The sequence below is a fragment of the Homo sapiens genome, chromosome 1 (assembly GCF_000001405.40).
Source record: "Homo sapiens chromosome 1, GRCh38.p14 Primary Assembly".
Classification (NCBI taxonomy): domain Eukaryota; kingdom Metazoa; phylum Chordata; class Mammalia; order Primates; family Hominidae; genus Homo; species Homo sapiens.
The window spans coordinates 20,771,909-20,793,587 of record NC_000001.11 but is presented as its reverse complement, the minus strand read 5'-3'; the positions used below and the strand labels follow the sequence as shown (position 1 = coordinate 20,793,587).

Sequence of the window (21,679 nt, the reverse complement as noted above, 5' to 3'; positions counted from 1 at the left end):
GCTGAATTGTAACTCTACTCAGTATGTCAGATGCTACAAACTCAAGGATAACTATTATTTAAAACTTCTATCCTCAAAATGATAGGAAATTTTTGGCACACTTTTCAAACTCCCTCAGGTAAGAGCTGTAGGTGGAAAAGTTGACTCCCACTGAGCGCTGGGTGGAGGCTGCTGACACCTATAGGATAGAGTTTCTCTAACTGAATGGCAGAATTAACTTTTAAAAATGCAGTTGGCATTTTAAAAAAATAGAACATACAAATACACCTTAAGGTAAATGTTATTTAGTAAAACATTTTGGCTTTTATATATAGTAGTACCCCCTATATTCGCGGTTTCACTTTTCGAGGTTTCAGGGACCCCACAGTTAAAATTCTTTGGTAGAGACCTACAGTTTCACCATTTTGCCCAGACTGGTCTTGACTCCTAGGCTCAAGCAATCTGCCAGCCTCAGCTTCCCAAAGTGCTGGGATTACAGGCATGAGCCACCGTGCCCGACCACAGTTCAAAAATATTTTGAGAGAACCACTTCCACATAACTTTTTTAACAGTACATTGTTATAATTATTCTATTATTTATTGTTGTTAATCTTACTGCACCTAATTTATAAATGAAACTTTCTTACAGGTATGTAGGTATAGGAAAAAACATAGTATATATAAGGTTTTGTACTATCCGTGGTTTCAGGCATCTACTGGGGTTCTTGGAACGTATCCCGCATGGGCAAGAGGCAATTACTGTACTGATTCACAATCTTTTATCCAAAACTGTTGGGACAAGATGTGTTTCAGAATTCTTCAGTTTAAGAAAATGTTTCAAAGTTGGATGACTGCTAGGCTAAGTGGAGTTCAAGCTATTGTCACCAGTGAATAGAGAAAAGTGCAACACTGGCAAGGGAGGATCCAAGGGTGTTCCTGCCTTTAAACCAACATCTTGGCCCTCAGGTAACACTACAAAAAGTAAGAGAAAATCACTGGGAGTGGGAGAGTCATATTAAATGTTTTTATCAGCCTCCATTTCTTGTTAAGCAGTATAAATTGTTCCTTCTCCTACCATCCCTTTCCAAGCTGCAGCTAAGTTAGGGACTGTTTCCAGTCCTTCTGGCTGGAAACCACAAAAGTCAAGTAACCTTCACCCCTGCCAAGACCATACATTCTGATGAGATCCAAGCCCTGGCCTGGATTTTTTGTTACTTCTGTGTGAAATTGCAATCCACCAGACCTGACTCATGGAAAGAATACAGATCAGCTGGGCTAGGAACAGAAACCTCCTCTTCCCACCAGCCAATCAAGAATTATTCTTCAAGTGTTGGCCAGGCACAGTAGCTCACAGCTGTAATTGCAGCGCTTTGGGAGGCCAAGGTTGGAGGATCACTGGATCCCAGTTCGAGACTAGCCTAGGCAATATAGTGAGACTCCATACAAAATAAAAAAAAACTTAACTGGGCATGGTGGTGGGTGCCTGTAATCCCAACTACTCAGGAGGCTGAGGCAGGAGGATTACCTGAGCCCAGGAGTTCGATGCTGCGATTGTGCCACTGCACTCCAGTCTGGGCGACAGAATAAGAGCCTGTCTCAATAATAATTTTTTTAAAAATTTATTTGACTGTTAACAGCGCTTTTAGAATTCGTTTTCTGATTTTTACCAGAAAACCCCCATGGGGGGAAAAATTCTTCAAACCTGTCCTTGTTAACACAAGGTGGTATGTAAGTAAAATAGGTAGATATATCTTTCGATGCTCAGCCCAGTGACTGTGATGTCATAGCTCTGGTCTGGAATATTCTTAGAATCTGAATCTGCAGTTGCTTTGTGCGCAGTGGCTCATGCCTGCAATCCCAGCATTTTAGGAGGCCAGGCGGGTGGATCATCTGAGGTTAGGAGTTGGAGACCAGCCTGGCCAACATGGTGAAACCCCATCTCTACTAAAAATACAAAAATTAGGCAGGCATGGTGGTGGGCACCCAGCTACTCGGGAGGCTGAGGCAGGAGAATCGCTTGAACCCGGGAGGCGGAGGTTGCAGTGAGCCCAAATCATGCCACTGCATTCCAGTCTGGGCGACAGAGCGAGATTCTTGTCTCAAAAATAAATAAATAAATAAAATTTGAGGAACAGGAAAAAAACAAAAAGCAACCAATCTATTACCTTCACAACAGGCTGTAAAGTCTGCAAAGCTAGCTTTATGCTAAAGTTTCAACAGGGACTTGGCCTCTGAAAAAGTGGGTGTTGAAAATTAGAGATGATACAGTTAGATTGTGAGGACTTCTTAACGCTTGCACTCCTAGTTCACAAACCACTAGGTTTCCTCATCTTTCTGGGACTCCCTAGGCAAGGACTCCCTGAGAATGGATAGCCTTGGGCAGAACTGTGAAGTCATCACAGACAGCCCCTCATTTACTCCTTTCTCTCCCCAGAAGTTCCTACCCTAGTCAGACCTCCGGGGTTCTTATCTTCCGATCCATCCGGAAAGAGGTTTAAAGTAGGAAATCTCAATTATCACTTTAAAAGTGCTATAGAAGAATGGCTGGGAGAGGTGGTGTGCCTATAGTCACAGCTGCTTTGGAGACTGAAGCAGGAGAACTGCTTGAGCCCAGGAGTTTGAGTCCATCCTGGGCAGTACAGCAAGACCCCATCTCTAAAAAAAAAATTCTAGGTGCTGTAGAAGAGAGTGAAGATTAAACCAAAGGAATGAATCTCTGAGTGGCAGAACTTCAGGGACTTTGATGAGTGTGGGAGGTCTCTGAGTGAGAGGGTCTTCCCAGTGCCTGGAAGCTCAGTCTTTGATGGCAGCCTTCTCTAATACACCCCATAAGAGCTGAGCTGCTCTTCTAAACTTGTCAAGGTGGGTCTTTCCACCAATGCAGTTTGTTTACCTTTAGGTAAATGGTACAAAAATCATCATGTAATTGTTGGCTGGGTGTGATGGCTCACGCCTGTAATGCCAGCACTTTGGGAGGCTGAGGCGGGCAGATCACCTGAGGTCAGGAGTTCAAGACCAGCCTGGCCAACATGGTGAAACCCCGTCTCTACTAAAAATACAAAAATTAGCCAGGCATGGTGATGCACATCGGTAATCCCAGCTACTTGGAAGGCTGCGGCATAAGAATCACTTGAACCCAGGAGGTGGAGGTTGCAGTGAGCCGAGATCCCGCCAGTGCACTCCAGCCTGGGTGACAGAGAGAGACTCCATCTCAAAACAAAACAAAACCTATTACATAACACACTTCAATGATCTGTGACTAGTATAGCTTAAATAAAGCCAAGTGAAATAAACTATAAAACTATACCCCTATGGAATCTTTTGATTCAGAGGCAGGTACATACAAAAATCAAAACTGGCCAGATATTAAATATTACATTGAGCAAAGGTAAAGTGCTTTAACTAATAGACATGTACAATAAAAATTTCAGATTCCTGAGTAGAAAACTTTCAACTTCAGTCTTCAGTAAGTGGTAGCCTTAATGCCTGCCCGTGTGTGTGTGTGTGCACTCTCTTGTGGAAAAAAATGTGTTTCAGGATTTTTCCTCCTTTGGTGTTCATGTGGTGAACAACAAAGTAAGATTGATTTTTTGTTGTTGTTTTTTGTTTGTTTGTTTTTGAGACAGAGTCTTGCTCTGTCACCCAGGCTGGAGTGCAACGGCACGATCTCTGCTCACTGCAGTCTCCGCCTCCCAGGCTCAAGGGATTCTCCCCCCTCAGCCTCCTGAGTAGCTGGGATTACAGGCACCCACCACCATGCCCAGCTAAATTTTGTATTTTTGTAGAGACGGTGTTTCATCATGTTGGCCAGGATGGCCTTGAACTCCTGACCTCACGTGATTCCCCTGCCTGTGCCTCCCAAAATGCTGGGATTACAGGTGTGAGCCACTACGCCCAGCCTTGATTTTTTTTTTTTTTTTTTTTTTTTTTTAGACAGGGACTTGCTCTGTCGGACAGGCTAGAGTGCAGTGGTGCAATCTTGGCTCGCTGCAGCCTCCGCCTCCTGGGTTCAAGGGGTTCTCCTGCCCTCAGCCTCTCGAATAGCTGGGATTGCAGGCACGTGCCACACGCCCGGCTAATTTTTGTATTTTTAGTAGGGACAGGGTTTCACCATGTTGGCCAGGCTGGTCTCGAACTCCTGACCTAGGCCTCCCAAAGTGCTGGGATTACAGGCATGAGCCACGACACCCGGCCTGATTGATTTTTGAAACACCTTGTTGCCCACGCTGGAGTGCAGTGTCATCATCACGGCTCACTACAGCCTCGACCACCTGTGCTTAAGTGACCCTCCCATCTCAGCCTCCCATGTAGGTGACCACAGGCGTGTGTCACCACGCCCAGCTAATTTTTTTTTTTTTTTTTGATATGGAGCCTGTCACCCAGGCTGGAGTGCAGTGGCGCGATCTCAGCTCACTGCAACCTCCCTCTCCTGGGTTCAAGTGATTCTCCTTCCTCAGCCTCCCGCGAGTAGCTGGGACTACAGGCTCGTGCAACCATGCTCAGCTAATTTTTTGTATTTTTAGTAGAGACGGGGTTTCACCGTGTTAGTCAGGACGGTCTTGATCTCCTGACCTCGTGATCCGCCCACCTCGGCCTCCCAAAATGCTGGGATTACAAGCTTGAGCCACCGCGCCCGGCCTAATATTTTTATCATATATAGAAAGGGGGTTTCTCCATGTTGCTCCAGGGTGGTCTTAAACCTCCTGGGCTAAAGAGATCCTCCTTTTGGGAACCTAGGCTTCCCAGAGTGCTGGGATTACAGGCATGAGCTACCGTACCCCACCAAGATTGTTTTGAGACAGGGTCTTGCTCTCTCTGGGTGGAGCGCAGTGGTGATCATAGCTCACTGTTGCCTCAAATCCTCGGCTTCAGCGATCCTCCTGCCTCAGCCTCCCGAGTAGCTGGGACTAAAGGCCTTTGCCACCATTCCTGGCTTATTTATTTATTTAGAGATGGGGTCTAATTATGTTGCCCTGGCTGGCCTCGAACTCCTGGCCCCAAGCCTCATGCAATCCTCCCACCTCGGCCTCCCAAAGTGCAGGGACTACAGGCGTAAACCACCATGCTCGGCCTAAGTTTTGTTGTTGTTGTTTTAAGCAAAAATCTGTGGAGGAGGAAACATCTCCCAGTTTGCTCTCATCTGAGTCTGCTTCTTACATGAGATGGGTCTAAAGACATTTTAGGGTAAAAGAAGAACGGTAGGATGTTTTAAATGTACGAATACATAAAAATGGAAGTCTTTGAAAAGGAAGACAACAGAAACGTTAACAACGAAGGGAGTGAGCAGAATGAAGAATGGCATAAAAGAGCAAAACCCCTTCTGAACAGCTGGAATATGACACCAGAGTACTAAAGACTGGTAATGCCATCAGGATATGAATGATAACGCACACCTCGTAAAGAATTTTTTATGCTGGCTGTGAAATTTGAACTGATAGAGTGGGGTGGCTGTGGCAGGGAAAGCTGGTGAGACAATTATGCTAATGGCAGGGCCAGACGACTGGGTGAGTGCTTAAATGGTGTCGTAAGTCTTTATAAACCTTGGCACATACGTTTGAGTACTGGTCATCTACTGTAAGCTTGGGACAATTCTACTGGTATTTCCTTACATTTATTACCCAGTCCCTCCCCTGTCCCCCAACACCTGAAACTTTAAAAACAATCTTTCCAAACTAGCTTTGAAGAGCTGTACTTTTCCTTCGTATGTACGTTGTTTAAGTACGCTGATAGCAACGCAATATGACAATTCAAAGGGAATCCCGTCTTCTAATCTCAGGGTTTTCATTCTGGGGAACTCTCCCTGCATGTGAGGATTAGGGAGCCCGGAAAGCCCGTTTCAACTTTTCAGTTCTGAGTCCCGAGTCACTACTCTGCCCTGTACCGTCTGGAGACTTAATGGGAGCGAGTGCGAGGCAGTGAATTCTCCGCTCTCTAGTTTTCCAATTCTACGGTCTTCAAAAAAAGGTTTGCTCTTGAGCTGCGCCTAAACTGAGAAGCGGGAAAGGCTAGCCCCGCTAAAGGCGGACGAGTGGCAGAAGCGGAAACCCAGTTAAGAGAAGGGACTGCCCTGGAGAGCACAGAAAGCGAAGGTTAGCGGGGGAAAGCGGCGCCCCTCCGAGGAAACCGACACCGCCCCGCCACGCCAAGGCAATGGGCGCCACCACGCAGCGCCGGGAACGCGCGCCGACGCCCCGCGCTCCGCCGGCGTCCGCCCGTCCCCGCGCGCCCCCTCGCACCCCACGCGCGGGAGGCGGGGCCGGCGGGGGCGCGCGCGGGGCCGCGGGTAGGGGGGCGGGGCGGCAGAGCTCGGCGGCTGGGACTGGAGGACAGCGGTGGCGGAGGCGACTAGCGGCGGCGGGAGCGGCGCCGAGAGGCCGTGCGGGACGCGGGCGCCAGGACCGGCCGAACGCAGAGGTAACGCAGGACCGAACAGGCGGCCGGGGAGTGGGCGCGGGCTCGCTGGGCCCCGAAGGCGAGTGGCGGAGGCCGCTCGCCCGGGGCGCCGACGCCGCTCCCAGAGAGGAGGGGGCGGGGCGCCCGGGTCCCCGGAGGTGGCGCCTTTTGTCTGCCTTACCCGGCCGCTCCGCCCCGCTCCCTTCCTCTCTCCTGCGACCTAGCCCCCTGCCCTTTTGGTGGACTCCTCCTCAGGGGCCCTCCGGCGCGCGCGCTCCCGCCCTTGTTTTGTTTGGATTTGGGGGAGGAGGGGGAGCTCTTCTCTGGCCGTGCGACCCTGCGTCCCAGCGCGCCTGCGTCGGCGTCCTCTGCCCGCCCCGATTGGCTGAGGGCTGCGCATGCTCCGAGGCCCGCCGCGGTCCGGCGTCCGCCCGCGCCCTCCCCTCACCCCACTCCCTCAGCGGTTTTCGGAGCCGGTTCGAAAGATGCCGGCGGCGGTGACTGGCTGCGGCGGGCCCGCCCCCCGGGTTCTCCGCCCCCGCCGCCGCCATTACGGAGCTCCCAGTGGTGAGTGTGCGGAGCGCCGAGGCTCGCGTTCCGCCGCTGCTTCCGTCGCCGGGGCGGGCGCCGCGGTGTCCCTGCCGAGCGTGAGCCCCGAACTGTCACCGCGCCGAGCCCCAGCCTCATCCGTCGGTGTCCGCGGTCCGAGCTTTCCCCGCCTCGCTGGCGGCCCGCGCTCTCCCCCGCCGTGCGCGTTCGCCGCTGTGGCCTGTAGCTACCTCGCCTCGCTGCTTTGTCTCCGCTGCTCTTGCCGTCCTTCCCGCGGCCTTCTGCGGGCGGGGCTGTCGGCTGTCGCTTTGCTGCTCCGCGACGGCGGCCTTGAGTCTCGCTCCCCCGGTGGGAAACGTAGAACTGGTTACTCGCCACCTTAGGCGGTGGGGTTTGAATGAGAGCGGTGCCTCGGTAGGTCGTCAGAAAGTTACAGTCGCCCATCTGAGCGTTTGTAAGAGATGGAGGCAGGAGTGGTGAGGTGAGAGCCCCAGATCTGAGGGTTGGTACTGCATTAACAGCTGTGACCGGGGACAGCCACTTAACCTTTTTGAGAAAGAGTTGTCTCCCGTACGGAGACCGGACCGGGTGAACTGTGCTGCCGCATCCGCGTGCACGTTCTCTCTGTTGTTTATTGTGCTTCCTGACTTTGCATTGCATTAAAAAGTGAGAATCCAATTCGAAATAACGTCTAAAAATCGCCTGGGGCTTTTTGAGCACGCTGTCTTGTCTTAGAGTGAAATTAGAGGTGACTAGTGTCATTTTTGAAAGGTGCTCTAATTTTGTTTAACCTGACATAGGCAAAAAACTTGTTAGCTTTTTGATTTTTCATTGCTCTTCTCAAAAGTTTAGTGTAATTTGTTTCAAAATAGAAGTAACATTTTAAAGTTTGCTGGGTTGGTTGGTTTTGGCTTTGTTTTTAAGCTTGCTTGGAAGATTGTAGGGCTGGAAGTTAGTGGAGAACGTATACTGAACTCTTCATTTCCGGATGAAAGTTTTAACTCCTTACCCAGTTAGATTGTGATTTTATTGAGATGAGACACTGTAGTGTCCTTAGTATCTATGCCCAAAACAGACACTGAGTATATGTTTGCTTATATAACTTACATTTGAAAATGAAAAACAAGTGGTGTCAGCAGTCAAATTACAGGCATGCTTTTTGTGACATGACTCGTTAAATCTGAGTGTAGTGAATGACTTAAGATTGGGAACAATGTGAGGTGTTCAGCGCATCACTAATGACATGTATTACATATATTTTATGGTAAAATGTGAAATTATAGTGCTTTCCCTAAAATGCATATTATCAAGGATATCAGTAAACTGAAATACGTTGTTAAACTCCTCACTTTTCTACAGCCTTCTCTTAATGTAGAGGAAATAAATTAAAACTGAAATTTGGGGCTTTTTATTTCTACAATACTTTTTTTTATTGCTTGCATTCAAATAATTTAAAGCCGTGCATGGTGGCTCACACCTGTAATCCTAACACTTTGGGAGGCCAAAGAGGAGGATCGCTTGAATCCAGGAGTTAGAGACCAGCTTGGGCAACCCTGTCTCTACAGAAAATACAAAAACTATCCGGCTGTGGTGGCGCATACCTGAAGTCCCAGCTACTCAGGTGGCTGAGGTGGGAGGAGATCGCTTGAGCCCAGGAGGTCGAGGCTACAGTGATCCCTGGTCATGCCACTGTACTCCAGACTGAGACTCTGTCTCAAAATAAACAACCGATTTAATTTAAGCATTTCCCTTGACAAAAAGCAAATATTTGTTATTGTTGTAACATTAAGTTTAAGCAAGCTGATGTTCATAAGAGGACCATGTAAACCACAAGTAAACTCAGACTGTTTATTTTTGGCACATATAAAAACCAAGATGAAAAACATGAATAGGCCGGGCACGGTGGCTCACGCCTGTAATCCCAGCCCTTTGGGAGGCTGAGGTGGGCGGATCACGAGGTCAGGAGATCGAGACCATCCTGGCTAACACGGTGAAACCCCGTCTCTACTGAAAATACAAAAAATTAGCTGGGTGTCGTGGCGGACGCCTGTAGTCCCAGCTACTCAGGAGGCTGAGGCAGGAGAATGGCGTGAACCGGGAGGGGAGGTTGCAGTGAGCCGAGATCGCGCCACCGCACTCCAGCCTGGGCGACAGAGCAAGACTCGGTCTCAAAAAAAAAAAAAAAAAAAAGGGAAAACACAAATAAGTTTTATTTGTTCATCCTTTAGTTTAACAAATATTAATTGAGCATCTATTCTGTGCCTGGTATGTTCTTAGGCATCAGGTATGCAGCAAATGAACCAGGTAGATAAGATCCCTGCCAGGAACAAGTGTGGCAGCCTCAAAATTTGATCATTCAGAGTGCAATAGTAAAAAGTTTAGTTAATAGGTACACTGGGTCAGATGCAGTGGCTTACACCTGTAATCCCAACACGTTGAGAGGCCGAGGCAGATGGATCGCTTGAGCCCAGGAGTTTGTGACCAGCCTGGGCAACATGGCAAAACCCTGTTGATACAAAAAAGAGAAAAATTAGCCGGGCATGGCGGTGCGTGCCTGTAGTCCCAGCTACTAGGGAGACTAAGGTGGGAGAGTCGCTTGAGCCTGGGAGGTTGAGGCTGCAGTGAGCTGTGATACTACAACCTGAGCATCAGAGTGAGACCGTGTCTTAAAACAAACAAACAAAAAACATAGGTACAGTGATGTTAAGGCAGTGTGAATTAACGTTGCATATACTTAGCTCTGTAATGAACAGTGAGTTTATTAAATAGCCAATTAACCCAACTATTCTAAAGCAGGTACTACAGATTGAAGCTTTGAAGTTCTATGACTTTGACTTTTATTAAGGAAATGCAGAGCTGAGGCTAACATCTCTTTTTTTTTTTTTTTTTTTTTTTTTGAGACAGAGTCTCACACTGTTACCCAGGCTGGAGTGCAGTGGCATGATCTCGGCTCACTGCAACTTCGGATTCCCGGGTTCAAGTGATTCTCCTGCCTGAGCCTCCCGAGTAGCTGGGACTAACCCAACTATTCTAAAGAAAGTACTACAGATTGAACCTTTGAAGTTCTACAGCTTTTACTAAGGAAATGCAGAGCTCTAACATCTCTATTTTTTTTGTTTTTTTTTTAAATTGTTGTTGTTTGTTTTTTGAGATGGAGTCTCACTCTTCACCCAGGCTTGGAGTGCAGTGGCATGATCTCAGGTCACTGCAACCTCCGCCTCCCAGGTTCAAGTGATTCTTCTCCCTCAGCCTCCTGAGTAGCTGAGACTACAGGTGTACACCACAGCGCCTGGCTAACTTTTGTGTTTTTAGTAGAGATGGGGTTTCACCATGTTGGCCAGGCTGGTCTCGGACTCCTGACCTCAGGTGATCCCTGCCTCAGCCTACCAAAGTGCTGGGATTACAGGCATGAGCCACTGTACCCAGCCCTAACGTCTCTTAATATTTATCCCAAATAACTGGGTTTTAAGTGTTCTTCACACATAATGAATGTAGTCATAAGTACTACCAGATGTCTTTGTTCATTCAACTTTTATTATTATTATTATTATTATTGAGCCAAGGTCTTACTCTGTCACCCAGACTGGAGTGCCGTGGTGCAATTCTAGCTCACTGTAGCCTGGAACTCCTGGACACTGGCAGTCCTCCCATCTCAGTCTTCCAAGTAGCTGGGACTACGGGCATGTGCCACAGTGACCAGCTAATTTTTTATCTTTTGTGTGTGTGGGTTTTTTCTTTCTTTTTTTTTTTTTTTTTTTCTTTTTTTTGAGAAGGAGTCTTGCTCTGTCGCCCAGGCTGGAGTGCAGTGGCACAATCTCGGCTCACTGCAATCTCCGCCTCCCAGGTTCAAGTGATTCTTCTGCCTCAGCCTCCCAAGTATCTGGGATTACAGGCGCGCACCACCACACCCGGCTAATTTTTGTATTTTTAGTAGAGACGGGGTTTCACCATACTGGCCAGGCTGGTCTCGAACTCCTGACCTTGTGATCTATCCGCCTCGGCCTCCCAAAGTGCTGAGATACAGGCGTGAGCCACCATGCCTGGCCCTTTTGTGTTTTTTTTTAAATTATTATTTTTTTTTCTTGAGGCAGGCTCTGCTCTGTCACCTAGGCTGGAATGCAGTGGCTCGATTTCAGGTTACTGCATCCAAAACCTTCTGGGCTCAAGCAGTCCTCCCAGTCTCAGCTTCCCAAGTAGCTGGGACTACAGGCGCATGCCACCATTCCCAGCTGATTTTTAATTTTTTTTTTTTAGAGACAACGTCTGTATTGCCCAGGCTGGTCTTGAACTCCTGGGCTCGAGTGAACCTCCTACCTTAGCCTCCCAAAGTGCTGGGATTACAGGTGTGAGCCACCACACCTGGCCTGTTTTTAAATTTTAATTTATTTACTTTTGGTAAAGACCAAGTCTAATGTTGACTAGGCTAGTTTTGAATTTCTAGCTTCAAGGGATCCTCCCACCTCTGCCTCCCAAAGTGCTGGGGTTGCAGGCATGAGCTACTACACCAAATGGGAAAGTATTTTTTTAAAGATGCCTATGAACGGAGACTCCTGAAGGTTGTTGACTTCACGGTAGCATTTTCAGCCTAGCTAGTGTTATCGTGGGTTAAGAAAGATAAATTCATTAGCAATATAACTTTACTAAGGATAACCTGATTGTGATATTGTTTTATTTCCATATCATATTTGCATGTAAAAATACCAGCAGATTTGCATAAGGCTTTTTATCATTAAGAAAAATGGGCCGGGTGCGGTGGGTCACGCCTGCCATCCCAGCACTTTGGGAGGCTGAGGCGGGCAGATCATCTGAGATCAGGAGCTCGAGACCAGCCTGACCAACATGGTGAAACCCCATCTCTACTAAAAATACAAAATTAGCTGGGCATGGTGGCGCATGCCTGTAATCCCAGCTACTCAGGAAGGTGAGGCAGGAGAATCGCTTGAACCAAGGAGGCGGAGGTTGCAGCGAGCTGAGATCGTGCCACCGCACTCCAGCCTGGGCAACAGAGCAAGACTCCGTCTCAAAAAAAGAAAAAAAAAATTTAATATTAATGGATATTCTGGTTCCCTAAGTATGAGTGTGTTACACTGCACTGAATTCTTTCAGCTGACTGAAAGATTTCCTTGCAGCTGACTGACAATTGACAAGTCTGGTATTGTTCTTGGTGTTCCCATAAAAATATTTTCCCGATAAGTGTGAATGCATCCTCTTTGTTTCAATCTTCCGGATTTATCCTAGTTGTTGTAGGTTGGGACTGTTACTTGCCAAGTTGAAAGCTCTTCAATTCTTAGACAAGGTTAGACCTTAATGTAGAAGTTGCATGACTGTCATTCCCTACTCATTGTTAATAGTTCATTAGCACAGAGATCTAGATACTTAAGTGGTCTTTTTTTTTTATATTGAGGAATTTTTGTATAAAATGTCATTGAGTCTCAGATGAGATTTTTGGGGAAGAGGGGGTGTTAGTGATCAGGTAAACTTGGGTGACTGCATGGGTTTTTATCTTTGAATATTTAATTATATTCTTCTGTACTAGTTTTCCTTACATTAAAAATATGACAGTCTTAGAAGCATACTTTTATTCTCCTAGGTGATGGTCTAAATTTGCTTCTGTGGGTCTGGAAGCTATTAGAATGTCATGTTATTCAGCAGTATTTTTCCCCTTGTGTTTTCCCTTAATAGAAGGAAAAAAAAAGTACTTTAATAGAGATAGAGTTTAAGATTACAGTTAATTTTCCTGACTCTTTCGAGAACAGTAACAACAAAAGCCTTCTCTTGGTAAACTGATCTTTGACTAACTGTTCCTTAGTCTCTTTATTCTATCCTTCTAAGTTCCTGATGGTGGCAGGAGGGGATGGGGTTAGGTTCCTTAGGAGCTTCCTTGCCCTTGTTGTCTTTGTTCATGTGGAAGGTGCAACAGCTGCCGTGGCTTATGCATTCGTCTTAGTTGCTGCTTTATGTAGTCTATATTTTGGTAGTTTTATCTTTCTGAGTAACCAAATCATCTGTCACTTACCTATAAATTTTATAGTTATATTTTTTCCCTTTGGATGTGTATTAAATTTAGACGTTTTAGTTTAGTTTTGTTTCTGTTAATCTTCACACCAGGTCTTTTCTGTGCTTTAGGTTGATTCTTCACCACACTGAAACCATTAGGAAAAATCCTTGTGGTTAACAGCAGAGGCTTCAGAGTGTAACCTGTACTCGGGCCTAGAAATTATTTAAAATGGCGACTGATACGTCTCAAGGTGAACTCGTCCATCCTAAGGCACTCCCACTTATAGTAGGAGCTCAGCTGATCCACGCGGACAAGTTAGGTGAGGTAGGGGCTGACACATTCTTGAAGCTCACTCTTGGATCAATCCCTGACTTCAGGCCCTGCTGGGTCCTTCTTGGTACATGTTCCTTCCCTTACTTTGGGGAGTCTAGGTTGTGAATTTGAAACAAAATCAGATTCTTTTCATCTTCCCTTTCCCCTCAAATTCCTGAGAAAACCTCCAACCTTCTAAATTTATAGCAAATCAACTATAATTATGTGTTTCCATTTGAAATTCAAGCTAAAATAACATACTTTAAAAAGTGTATCTTAAAAATCATATTTCACTTCAAAAAAAACTTGTTAAAAGTAATTTGCATCAGATCCTGGAGTCGACTTGAAGAATTCTCCTACATCTGACACCCAGTTAGGCCCTTTGAGAAAGAGAGAAAAGAGAATTTTTTAATGCATGTTTGATTATGGCCATCTCTTTTCTTAGAAGGTAGAAGATAGCACCATGCCGATTCGTCGAACTGTGAATTCTACCCGGGAAACTCCTCCCAAAAGCAAGCTTGCTGAAGGGGAGGAAGAAAAGCCAGGTAAAGTAAAATGGTGACACAGCTTAAAACATCAAAAGTTATACTGCAATTTGGAGTGTCCCATAAATTCCTTTGAACTTAATTGTTTTTTTTTTTTTTTCATGGCTAAGTGTTTTGGGGAAACATTTAGAGAGAATCAGTAGCTATTGGTATGTCATTGCCAGACCATGAGGGCAAAGTAAGGTTTCATCTTCTCTATAAAGGTTTTTGGAAGGTGAAAATGTTATGTTGGAATTAAAAACAAAAATGTTTGGGGATGACAGGAATGGCCAGAGAGTAGCATTCTGGACATAAAGTGTCATGGGGATCAGTGCAGTGTGGGAGAATGGAAAACGTGGGCCTTTAGAATAGACAGTGGAAGGTTCATCCAGAAATCATCTGGAGGCCTTCAGAGAAGCAAATGGTGATCTGTTGATCTATAACAGGTATTGGTAGAGAGAAGATTGGCCAGTCAGTGGTGGGAGCATAACAAATGGAAAGAAACATAGACCCATCAACATGGAGTACTAATGCTCCTTTATGGCATGTATAACCACCTCTTCTCCTTTTCCCGTCTTTATTTTTCTTCTCATGATCTTTTTGGTTTTTTTCCTTATCTTTTCCCTTTTTTCCTTTCTCTCTTGCCTTTTATCTCAGGTTTTTCAGGGATAAGCACACTGTGCTGCCTCTGTTGTGGCTGTTAGAATCAATTATTTGCTGACCAGCATGTATTAGGAATAGAGGGCCGGGCACAGTGGCTCACACCTGTAATCCCAGCACTTTGGGAGGCCAAGGAGGGCAGATCACCTGAGGTCAGGAGTTCGAGACCAGCCTGGCCATCATGGTGAAACCCCATCTCTACTAAAATTATAAACATTATCTGGGCATGGTGGTGCATGCCTGTAATCCCTGCTACTCAGGAGGCTGAGGCACAAGAATTGCTTGAGCCCAGGAGGCAGAGGTTGCAGTGAGCTGAGATCACGCCATTGTATTCCAGCCTGGGCAACAGAGGGAAACTGTCTCCAAAAAAAAGAAAAAAAAAAAAAAGAGGAGTAGAAAATACATGCATCCTTGGTGCATCAGGGCAGACATCAATAACCAGTCAATATACTCTTTTCTGGCTGAGCCTGGATTTTTTCTCTAAATCCTTAGATGAATGCTATAAGCAATTTGGGCACCCTGGCCTAAGGCAGTTAAGAAACACGGGAATCCAAATATTTAAAAAAGTAAACGGGTGCTGGTAAGTTGAAGATAGGTTATCTTGTCCAGCACTGGGATAAGCCACTTGGTGGTCCATCTTAATCCATGTTTAACAGCCAGCTGAAGCCACTAAATCACTAATAACATCAGTTTTCAGAATATATGCCAGAGGGTTCAGATGTAAAGTATTAGAAAACTCAACCAGAAGTTTATGAAGAAACAGTGTCACTTCACAAGTTGTATGTTTGTTTAATCTTCTCTCTATCCCATTTTGTACACAGTATTTTGTACATAGAAATTAGACTTCACTTATTTTAAATTTTGTAAACTCTATGTTTTACACAGAAACACAGTAGTTTAATGAGTTGGAAACAGTCTTATACATAATACATATTCAATATCTGTTGAGTGACTGAACTTTATTAAGCCATAACTCTTGAGCAGTTATTCTTGAGAAGAGAAAATAATGTAAATTTATAAGTCTTACTACCGTAAAACCCCTGAATGATTCTTAGCTTTTCATCTTTTTTAGAATAAGACAAAGTGTAAATAAACATGACTAACTAATAGTAAATTCTTGCCCATGCAGCCATTTAGGTCAAATTGTTGGGTTGAGGGGCAGTAAAAGATATATCATGATGAAAAATACATTTTATTGTGGAAAACCTAAATGTAGTTATTATCTTTATCCCCAGATACCATTGTTATAGTGAAGTTCTATCCATAATACTTTGTCATCCTAAGCATATGGGAAACAATTCTAGAAGCAGAGAATTCCAAAGGAGGATGGAAATCACTCGCTTAGTATAAGTGTTAGAATTGTACTTATGTGATTTGGTTTTAAGAAAGAAGTGGCATTTTAAAATTCTCTTTATAGCTGGGCGCGGTGGCTCACGCCTGTAATCCCAGAATTTTGGGAGGCTGAGGCGGGTGGATCACGAGGTCAGGAGATCGAGACCATCCTGGCTAACACAATGAAACCCTGTCACTACTAAAAATACAAAAAATCAGCTGGGCATGGCGGCACGCACCTGTAGTCCCAGCTACTAGGGAGGCTGAGGCAGGAGAATCGCTTGAACCTGGGGAGGTGGAAGTTGCAGTGAGCCAAGATTGCGCCACAGCACTCTAGCCTGGGAGACAGAGCGAGACTCCGTCTCAAAAAAAAAATAAATAAATAAATAAAATTCTCTTTATGGGAAGGCCACAAAGAAGTCCTCGTCATTATTGCAATAATTAGTTCACATAATTTAAATGATCAAATTCTTCAAGCATATACTTTGGCTTGAAGTATATGCTTGCCACTGGAGTCCTTTTTCTTTCATGTTTTTTTTATTTTTTTTATTTTTATTTTTTTTTGGAGTTCTCTGAAGTCCCTGCATAACCAGTGCCTGGGGTTCTGTGTTTTATAGTAGCTACTCAGAGACATGCTGTGAAGGAAAGGCACAAATAGCAGCAGACCTCCATGTTCCCCTCATATTTCTACTCTTGCTTCAGTCATTCCTCTTGGAGAATACATGAGTTTTTAAATTACTTATTCTCTGAGATTTGCCTGTTGAATTATAAAATGGCTAGTTTCTTAATTATGAGTCTCATGAATATTGCAAAGTAGAATAATTAAACAATTGGGGATGAAATGAGTTTTCCTTTCTATGTAATTTCCTGGTCTATTTTTCTAATAATAGATAAATAACCACCTGACCAGGAAACTTGAGTGACATAAAGAATGTAAGAAAACTGCATTAGTGGTCATTCATTTTCATTTTAGAATTCATTTGTTAATTGGAGACTTTGGCTGGTCCGTTTAATAAGATAAGCTTTTACCTTTTATTGACTCAGATTGGAATACATCTGCTTATGCAATTCTGCTCACCTGATTTTTTAGAACCAGACATAAGTTCAGAGGAATCTGTCTCCACTGTAGAAGAACAAGAGAATGAAACTCCACCTGCTACTTCGAGTGAGGCAGAGCAGCCAAAGGGGGAACCTGAGAATGAAGAGAAGGAAGAAAATAAGTCTTCTGAGGAAACCAAAAAGGAGTAAGGAGTTATGTCTTCTTGCTATTTATATTTGAAGAATGTGTAAAAGGACTTTAGATTAGATTGTTTTAAAGTGTTATAACATTGGTTTATGCTAGGTATTTGCTATTTGGATTTAATTTTTAGAATTACCATTTGAAATAGGTTTATTATATAGTTGTTTGACCTGTTAGAATATGCTGTAGTTAGCAGAACACAATGGTTTGAATAATCCAAAAGTCTTTGTCATTGGCTTTGGAATGTGTTTTTGAGCTTGTAATTTATTGTGGGAGTATCTGATATTTTAAGCATTGGCAAGACTTCAATAAGAAATGAAACATAACTATAAAAATCTGACCTAGAAGACATTTCACTATTTTATTCCTACTTCTGTGCCAGGAGTGGGTTGTTTTTGTGTGCTTATGTTAGAAGGCATTGATTTGTATCAAGCCATTGGTAGTGTGACCTAAAAGTCTATATATGTTTGATGAAATATTCAGTTGAAGAATTGGCTTTGAGAATCTGAAAGTAAAATTTGCTATTGATGTGTATCTATATAAAGTGATGGCAGTTACTTTTTAATTTTTAATTTTTTTTTTTTTTTTTTTGCAGGAGAGCTGATAGTATTCATTCCACTCTTTTCATAATTGGTCAGAACAGTTAGAAATTGCTTTTAACTATAGTCATGCATTGCTTAACAATGGGTATACATTCTGAGAGATACATCTTTAGGCGATTTCATCATCGTGCCAACATCATAAAGTGTACTTACACAAACCTACGTGGTACAGCCTACTACATACCTAGGCTTTATGGGATAGTCTGTTGCTTCTAGGCTACAAACCTGTACAGCATGTTACTGTACTAAATACTGTAGGCAGTTATAACACAACGGTAAGTATTTGTGTATTTAAACATAGAAAAGGTACAGTAAAAATATAATATAAAAGATAAAAAATGGTATACCTGTGTAGGACACCTACCATGAATGGACCTTAAAGGATTGGAAGTTGTTTGGGTGAGTGAGTGAGTGGTAAGTGAATGCAAAGGCCTAGGACTACTGTGTGCAACTTTTAAAACTAAAAAGTTTTTATTTTTAGCAACTTTTAAAACTAAAAAGTTTTTATTTTTAAAAACTTTTAAAACTTTACCAAAAACAAAGACACAAGCCGGACGCAATGGTGCACAGCTGTAGCCCTAGCTACTTAGGAAGCTGAGGTGGGGGGATTGCTTGAGTCCTGAAATTTGAATCTAGATTGGGCAACGTTGTGAGACCTCATATTTATAAAAAAACAAAACTAAGACACATACACACACCTTAACCTAGGCCTGCACAAGGTCAGGGTCATCAATATCACTGTCTTCCACCTCCAGATCTTGTCCCACTCAAGGCCTTCAGGGGCAGCAACACACATGGACCTGTCATTTCCTATGATAACAGTGCTGTCTTTTGGAATACCTTCTGAAGGACCTGCTTGAGGCTGTTTTACAGTTAACTTTTTTTTTGTAGGTAGAAAACATATACTCTAATGATAAAAAGTATAGTATAGTAAACACATAAACTAGTAGCATAGCTGTTTATTATCAGGTATTATGTATAATTGTAATGTGCTTTTTTTTTTTTTTTGAGATGGAGTCTTACTCTGTCACCCAGGTTGGAGTGTGGAGTGCAGTGGCGCGATCTGGGCTCACTGCAACCTCCACCTCCCAGGTTCAAGCGATTCTCCTGCCTCAACCTGCCAAGTAGCTGGGACTACAGGCGTGCACCTCCACACCTAGCTAATTTTTGTATTTTCAGGAGAGACGGGGGTTTCACCATGTTGGCCAGGATGGTCTCAATCTTTTGACCTTGTGATCCGCCCACCTTGGCCTCCCAAAGTGCTGGGATTACAGGCATGAGTCACCGCGCCCAGCCAATATGCTATATTTTTGTATGACTGGCAGCACTGTAGGTTTGTTTACACCAATGTCACCACAAACAAGTGAGTAACGTGCTGCGCTGTGATATTACCACAGCTATCATGTTAACCAGGTAATAGGAGGTTTTCAGTTCCATTATAATCTTAAGGGACCACCATTGTATATGTGGTCTGTTGACCAAATATTGTTACACAGCACATGACCATAAAAGAATAACTTAGTAATAACTATACCTTCTAGCTATAATCTTCAGGGTATTCTTTATCTGAGTTTCATAAGTATAGCTAAGGTCTGTGGAATTTATAGCAACTATCGTGTGTGGGTGTGGGTGTGTTTGTGTGTGTGTGTGTGTGTTTAATGGAGATGGCGTCTCACTATGTTGGCTAGGTTGGGCTTGAACTCCTGGCCTCAAGCTGTCCTCCCTCCTCAGCCTCCTAAATTGCTGGGATTACAGGCATGAGCCACTGCACCCAGCCTATCGTCTGTTGTTAAATGTTCTAATGCACCTATTAGGTGCACAGAGTACTGTTATATACTCAGAATAAAATTTACATAATGCTTTAAATCTCACAAAATTGTTTTGATAAACATACTCTTATAATTCTTGCAACACCTTGGGAAATAGTTGGTTCTATATTACTGTTTTATAGCTGAGGAGAAAGACTCACATCATTTACTAAGATCATATAGCTAGCTAGTAAATGTTTGAGTGAAAATACAAACAAAGGTTTTCTGACTTTAAGAGCTTGAGTTTTTTCCACTATACCATATTGCATCTGTTGTAATTGTTAACTAATGTGCATTTTAAAATTCTCATTTGTCTTATGTACTGAGCCCTTATACCAGTGCTAATTTATGTGACTCCTTTCTCCTGCAGCTAAGAGAAAAATACCTTTTTAATTCATTTATAGTACCCAGTTTTTAAAGAAGATTTATTTTGTAAAATTTTGCTTATGGTACATGTCATCTTAGCCTGTAAATAAATTAAAGCATTAATTTTTATCCCTCCCTGGTCTTTTCCTCCTTCTGACTTTATACGTCTTTCTAGAGAGCTTATCTTCTATAATAACAATTCTTTGTTTTAAAGTGAGAAAGATCAGTCTAAAGAAAAGGAGAAGAAAGTGAAAAAAACAATTCCTTCCTGGGCTACCCTTTCTGCCAGCCAGCTAGCCAGGGCCCAGAAACAAACACCGATGGCTTCTTCCCCACGTCCCAAGATGGATGCAATCTTAACTGAGGCCATTAAGGCAAGTTTTTATTTCAAGCAATTCATCTTAGATTTATTATGTTCATTTTTTTCTTATTTGAAAATGGCATATATCTGTCTAGACATCATAAATCTTGTTCTGCTTCCTAAAGGAGTTTTAAAGAGAGGAAAGTCATTATAAGTTCATGTTTTTCTAATATAATCACATTTGGTGAACACTGTTAATTTTTTTAAAAAAATTATATTTAATATAGCAAATATTTTAACTTTAGAATTTTTAAATGCAGTTTATCGATTAAGTACAGTTTTTATTTGAAGGCTGAAAATGTTAATTCATTGAACAAACATTTAAGGACTACCTTCCTCTGTTGGGCGCCCCTGCTAGTGGTGAATTAACTAAGGCTAGCAAAGTCCTTGCCCTTATAAATCTAATTGTGACTCAGTAACTGAAAAATATTGAGAATTTTTGTTTAAAAAATATCTCTAGGTTCATTTCTAAAGCTAAGTGATCTTGGTAGTGGTTATCTTTCACACCTGAACCCTGTTAATAAACACTGCTTTATTACCTAGACATTCCAAAATGCTTACAAAAATTATCCTCCTTACATAGATTTATGATTTCATTGACTTTCATTAGATGTAGTTTTCCTATTTTAATTTTTAAAGGTTATCTTCTAATTTGACATTGCCTTTATTGTATAAGTCTTTTCATTTAATTTTGCCTTGTTTAGTTCATATGATCAGATGATAAGAGGAGTTAGAACAGACCCATCTTTCAGGGACCCTGTTGTTAGGATCTGAGGCAGGACTGGGGAGACAGGGATACAGATGATTTTAACCAGAAAAGGGGGGATGTGTACGAAAAGGAGCAGCCTGGTTGTCATTCTCAGAATATGAGAAGATAGCACTAACACATAAACTGGAAAAAGGGTTTGCCTTCAGACTTCTCCCTTTACTCCTTCAAGACTTCTTATGCTCTCACCTCATTAAGAAAACTTTATTGGTCTAGATTACCTCACTGTAGTGAAATCTCTGTTCTTTGTATAGCCTTTCTTCAAGGATTTCACTTGATGACCACTCAGCCTGGGTTTGAAGGAGCAGCATCATAGTGAGGATGGAAAAAGGGCTGAAACTTTAAAATAGTGAAATAAAAAATTAAAACAATATCAATTTGGCTTAAAGAATGGTTTGAATATAATTGTGCATATTTATGGAGATGATTGATTTTATATAGATAATGTGTATTCCATGCAATATGACAAATTATTGTTTCAGACCATGGATACCATTTTCTGTATTGAACAGGAATCATGATGTCTACTACCATCTCACTGTCGGATTGGTGGAGCAAAAGATTATTTGTTTCAGCATTAGTGTTCTTTTCTGCTTGATTTTCTTTGCTCTGTGTTTTCTTTTAAGATCAGGAGTAAACCTCAGTAGGTCATTAATAGTTCAGAGACATAGACTTGAATTACATGACCCATATTAATACAACTTGTTTCGTGTTGTGCAATCTTTTCTGGACCATCTACCTGTGAGTTATTTTTCTTTGTTGTCAAAATGTATAAAAACATTCAACGAA

At 43.1% G+C, this 21,679-nt stretch overlaps 1 protein-coding gene across 18 annotated transcripts in view, besides 3 other annotated features; it reads left to right on the top strand.

The window, feature by feature from the left end:
• Positions 6,166 to 6,615: a silencer, noted in NCBI's record as "silent region_376". NCBI's record gives its function as "represses an Ori minimal core promoter by ATAC-STARR-seq in GM12878 lymphoblastoid cells {active_cell/tissue: GM12878}" and the evidence as "EXISTENCE:reporter gene assay evidence [ECO:0000049][PMID:35858748]".
• HP1BP3 (heterochromatin protein 1 binding protein 3) overlaps positions 6,281 to 21,679 on the top strand; it is a 47,042-nt gene continuing 31,643 nt past the window's right edge. For 3 of the 18 annotated variants that reach the window (NR_164850.1, NM_001372052.1, NM_001376795.1), the window contains exons 1-5: positions 6,281 to 6,393; positions 13,048 to 13,243; positions 13,677 to 13,776; positions 16,838 to 16,991; positions 19,978 to 20,137. Coding sequence is in view for 16 of the 18 variants with exons in the window: in NM_001372052.1 (NP_001358981.1) it covers positions 13,148 to 13,243; positions 13,677 to 13,776; positions 16,838 to 16,991; positions 19,978 to 20,137 (510 nt within the window). In the remaining 2 variants the exon portion in view is untranslated. Of the gene's footprint in view, positions 6,394 to 6,915; positions 7,403 to 13,047; positions 13,244 to 13,676; positions 13,777 to 16,837; positions 16,992 to 19,977; positions 20,138 to 21,679 lie in introns of those variants that run through there. The other 15 variants (NR_164851.1, NM_001376793.1, NM_001376797.1 and 12 more) reach the window with 12 other exon arrangements.
• Positions 6,646 to 7,105: a silencer, noted in NCBI's record as "silent region_375". NCBI's record gives its function as "represses an Ori minimal core promoter by ATAC-STARR-seq in GM12878 lymphoblastoid cells {active_cell/tissue: GM12878}" and the evidence as "EXISTENCE:reporter gene assay evidence [ECO:0000049][PMID:35858748]".
• Positions 7,366 to 7,558: a silencer, noted in NCBI's record as "fragment chr1:21112523-21112715 (GRCh37/hg19 assembly coordinates)". NCBI's record gives its function as "represses an EF-1alpha promoter that drives an FKBP-Casp9 reporter gene in an ReSE screen in HepG2 liver carcinoma cells {active_cell/tissue: HepG2}" and the evidence as "EXISTENCE:reporter gene assay evidence [ECO:0000049][PMID:32094911]".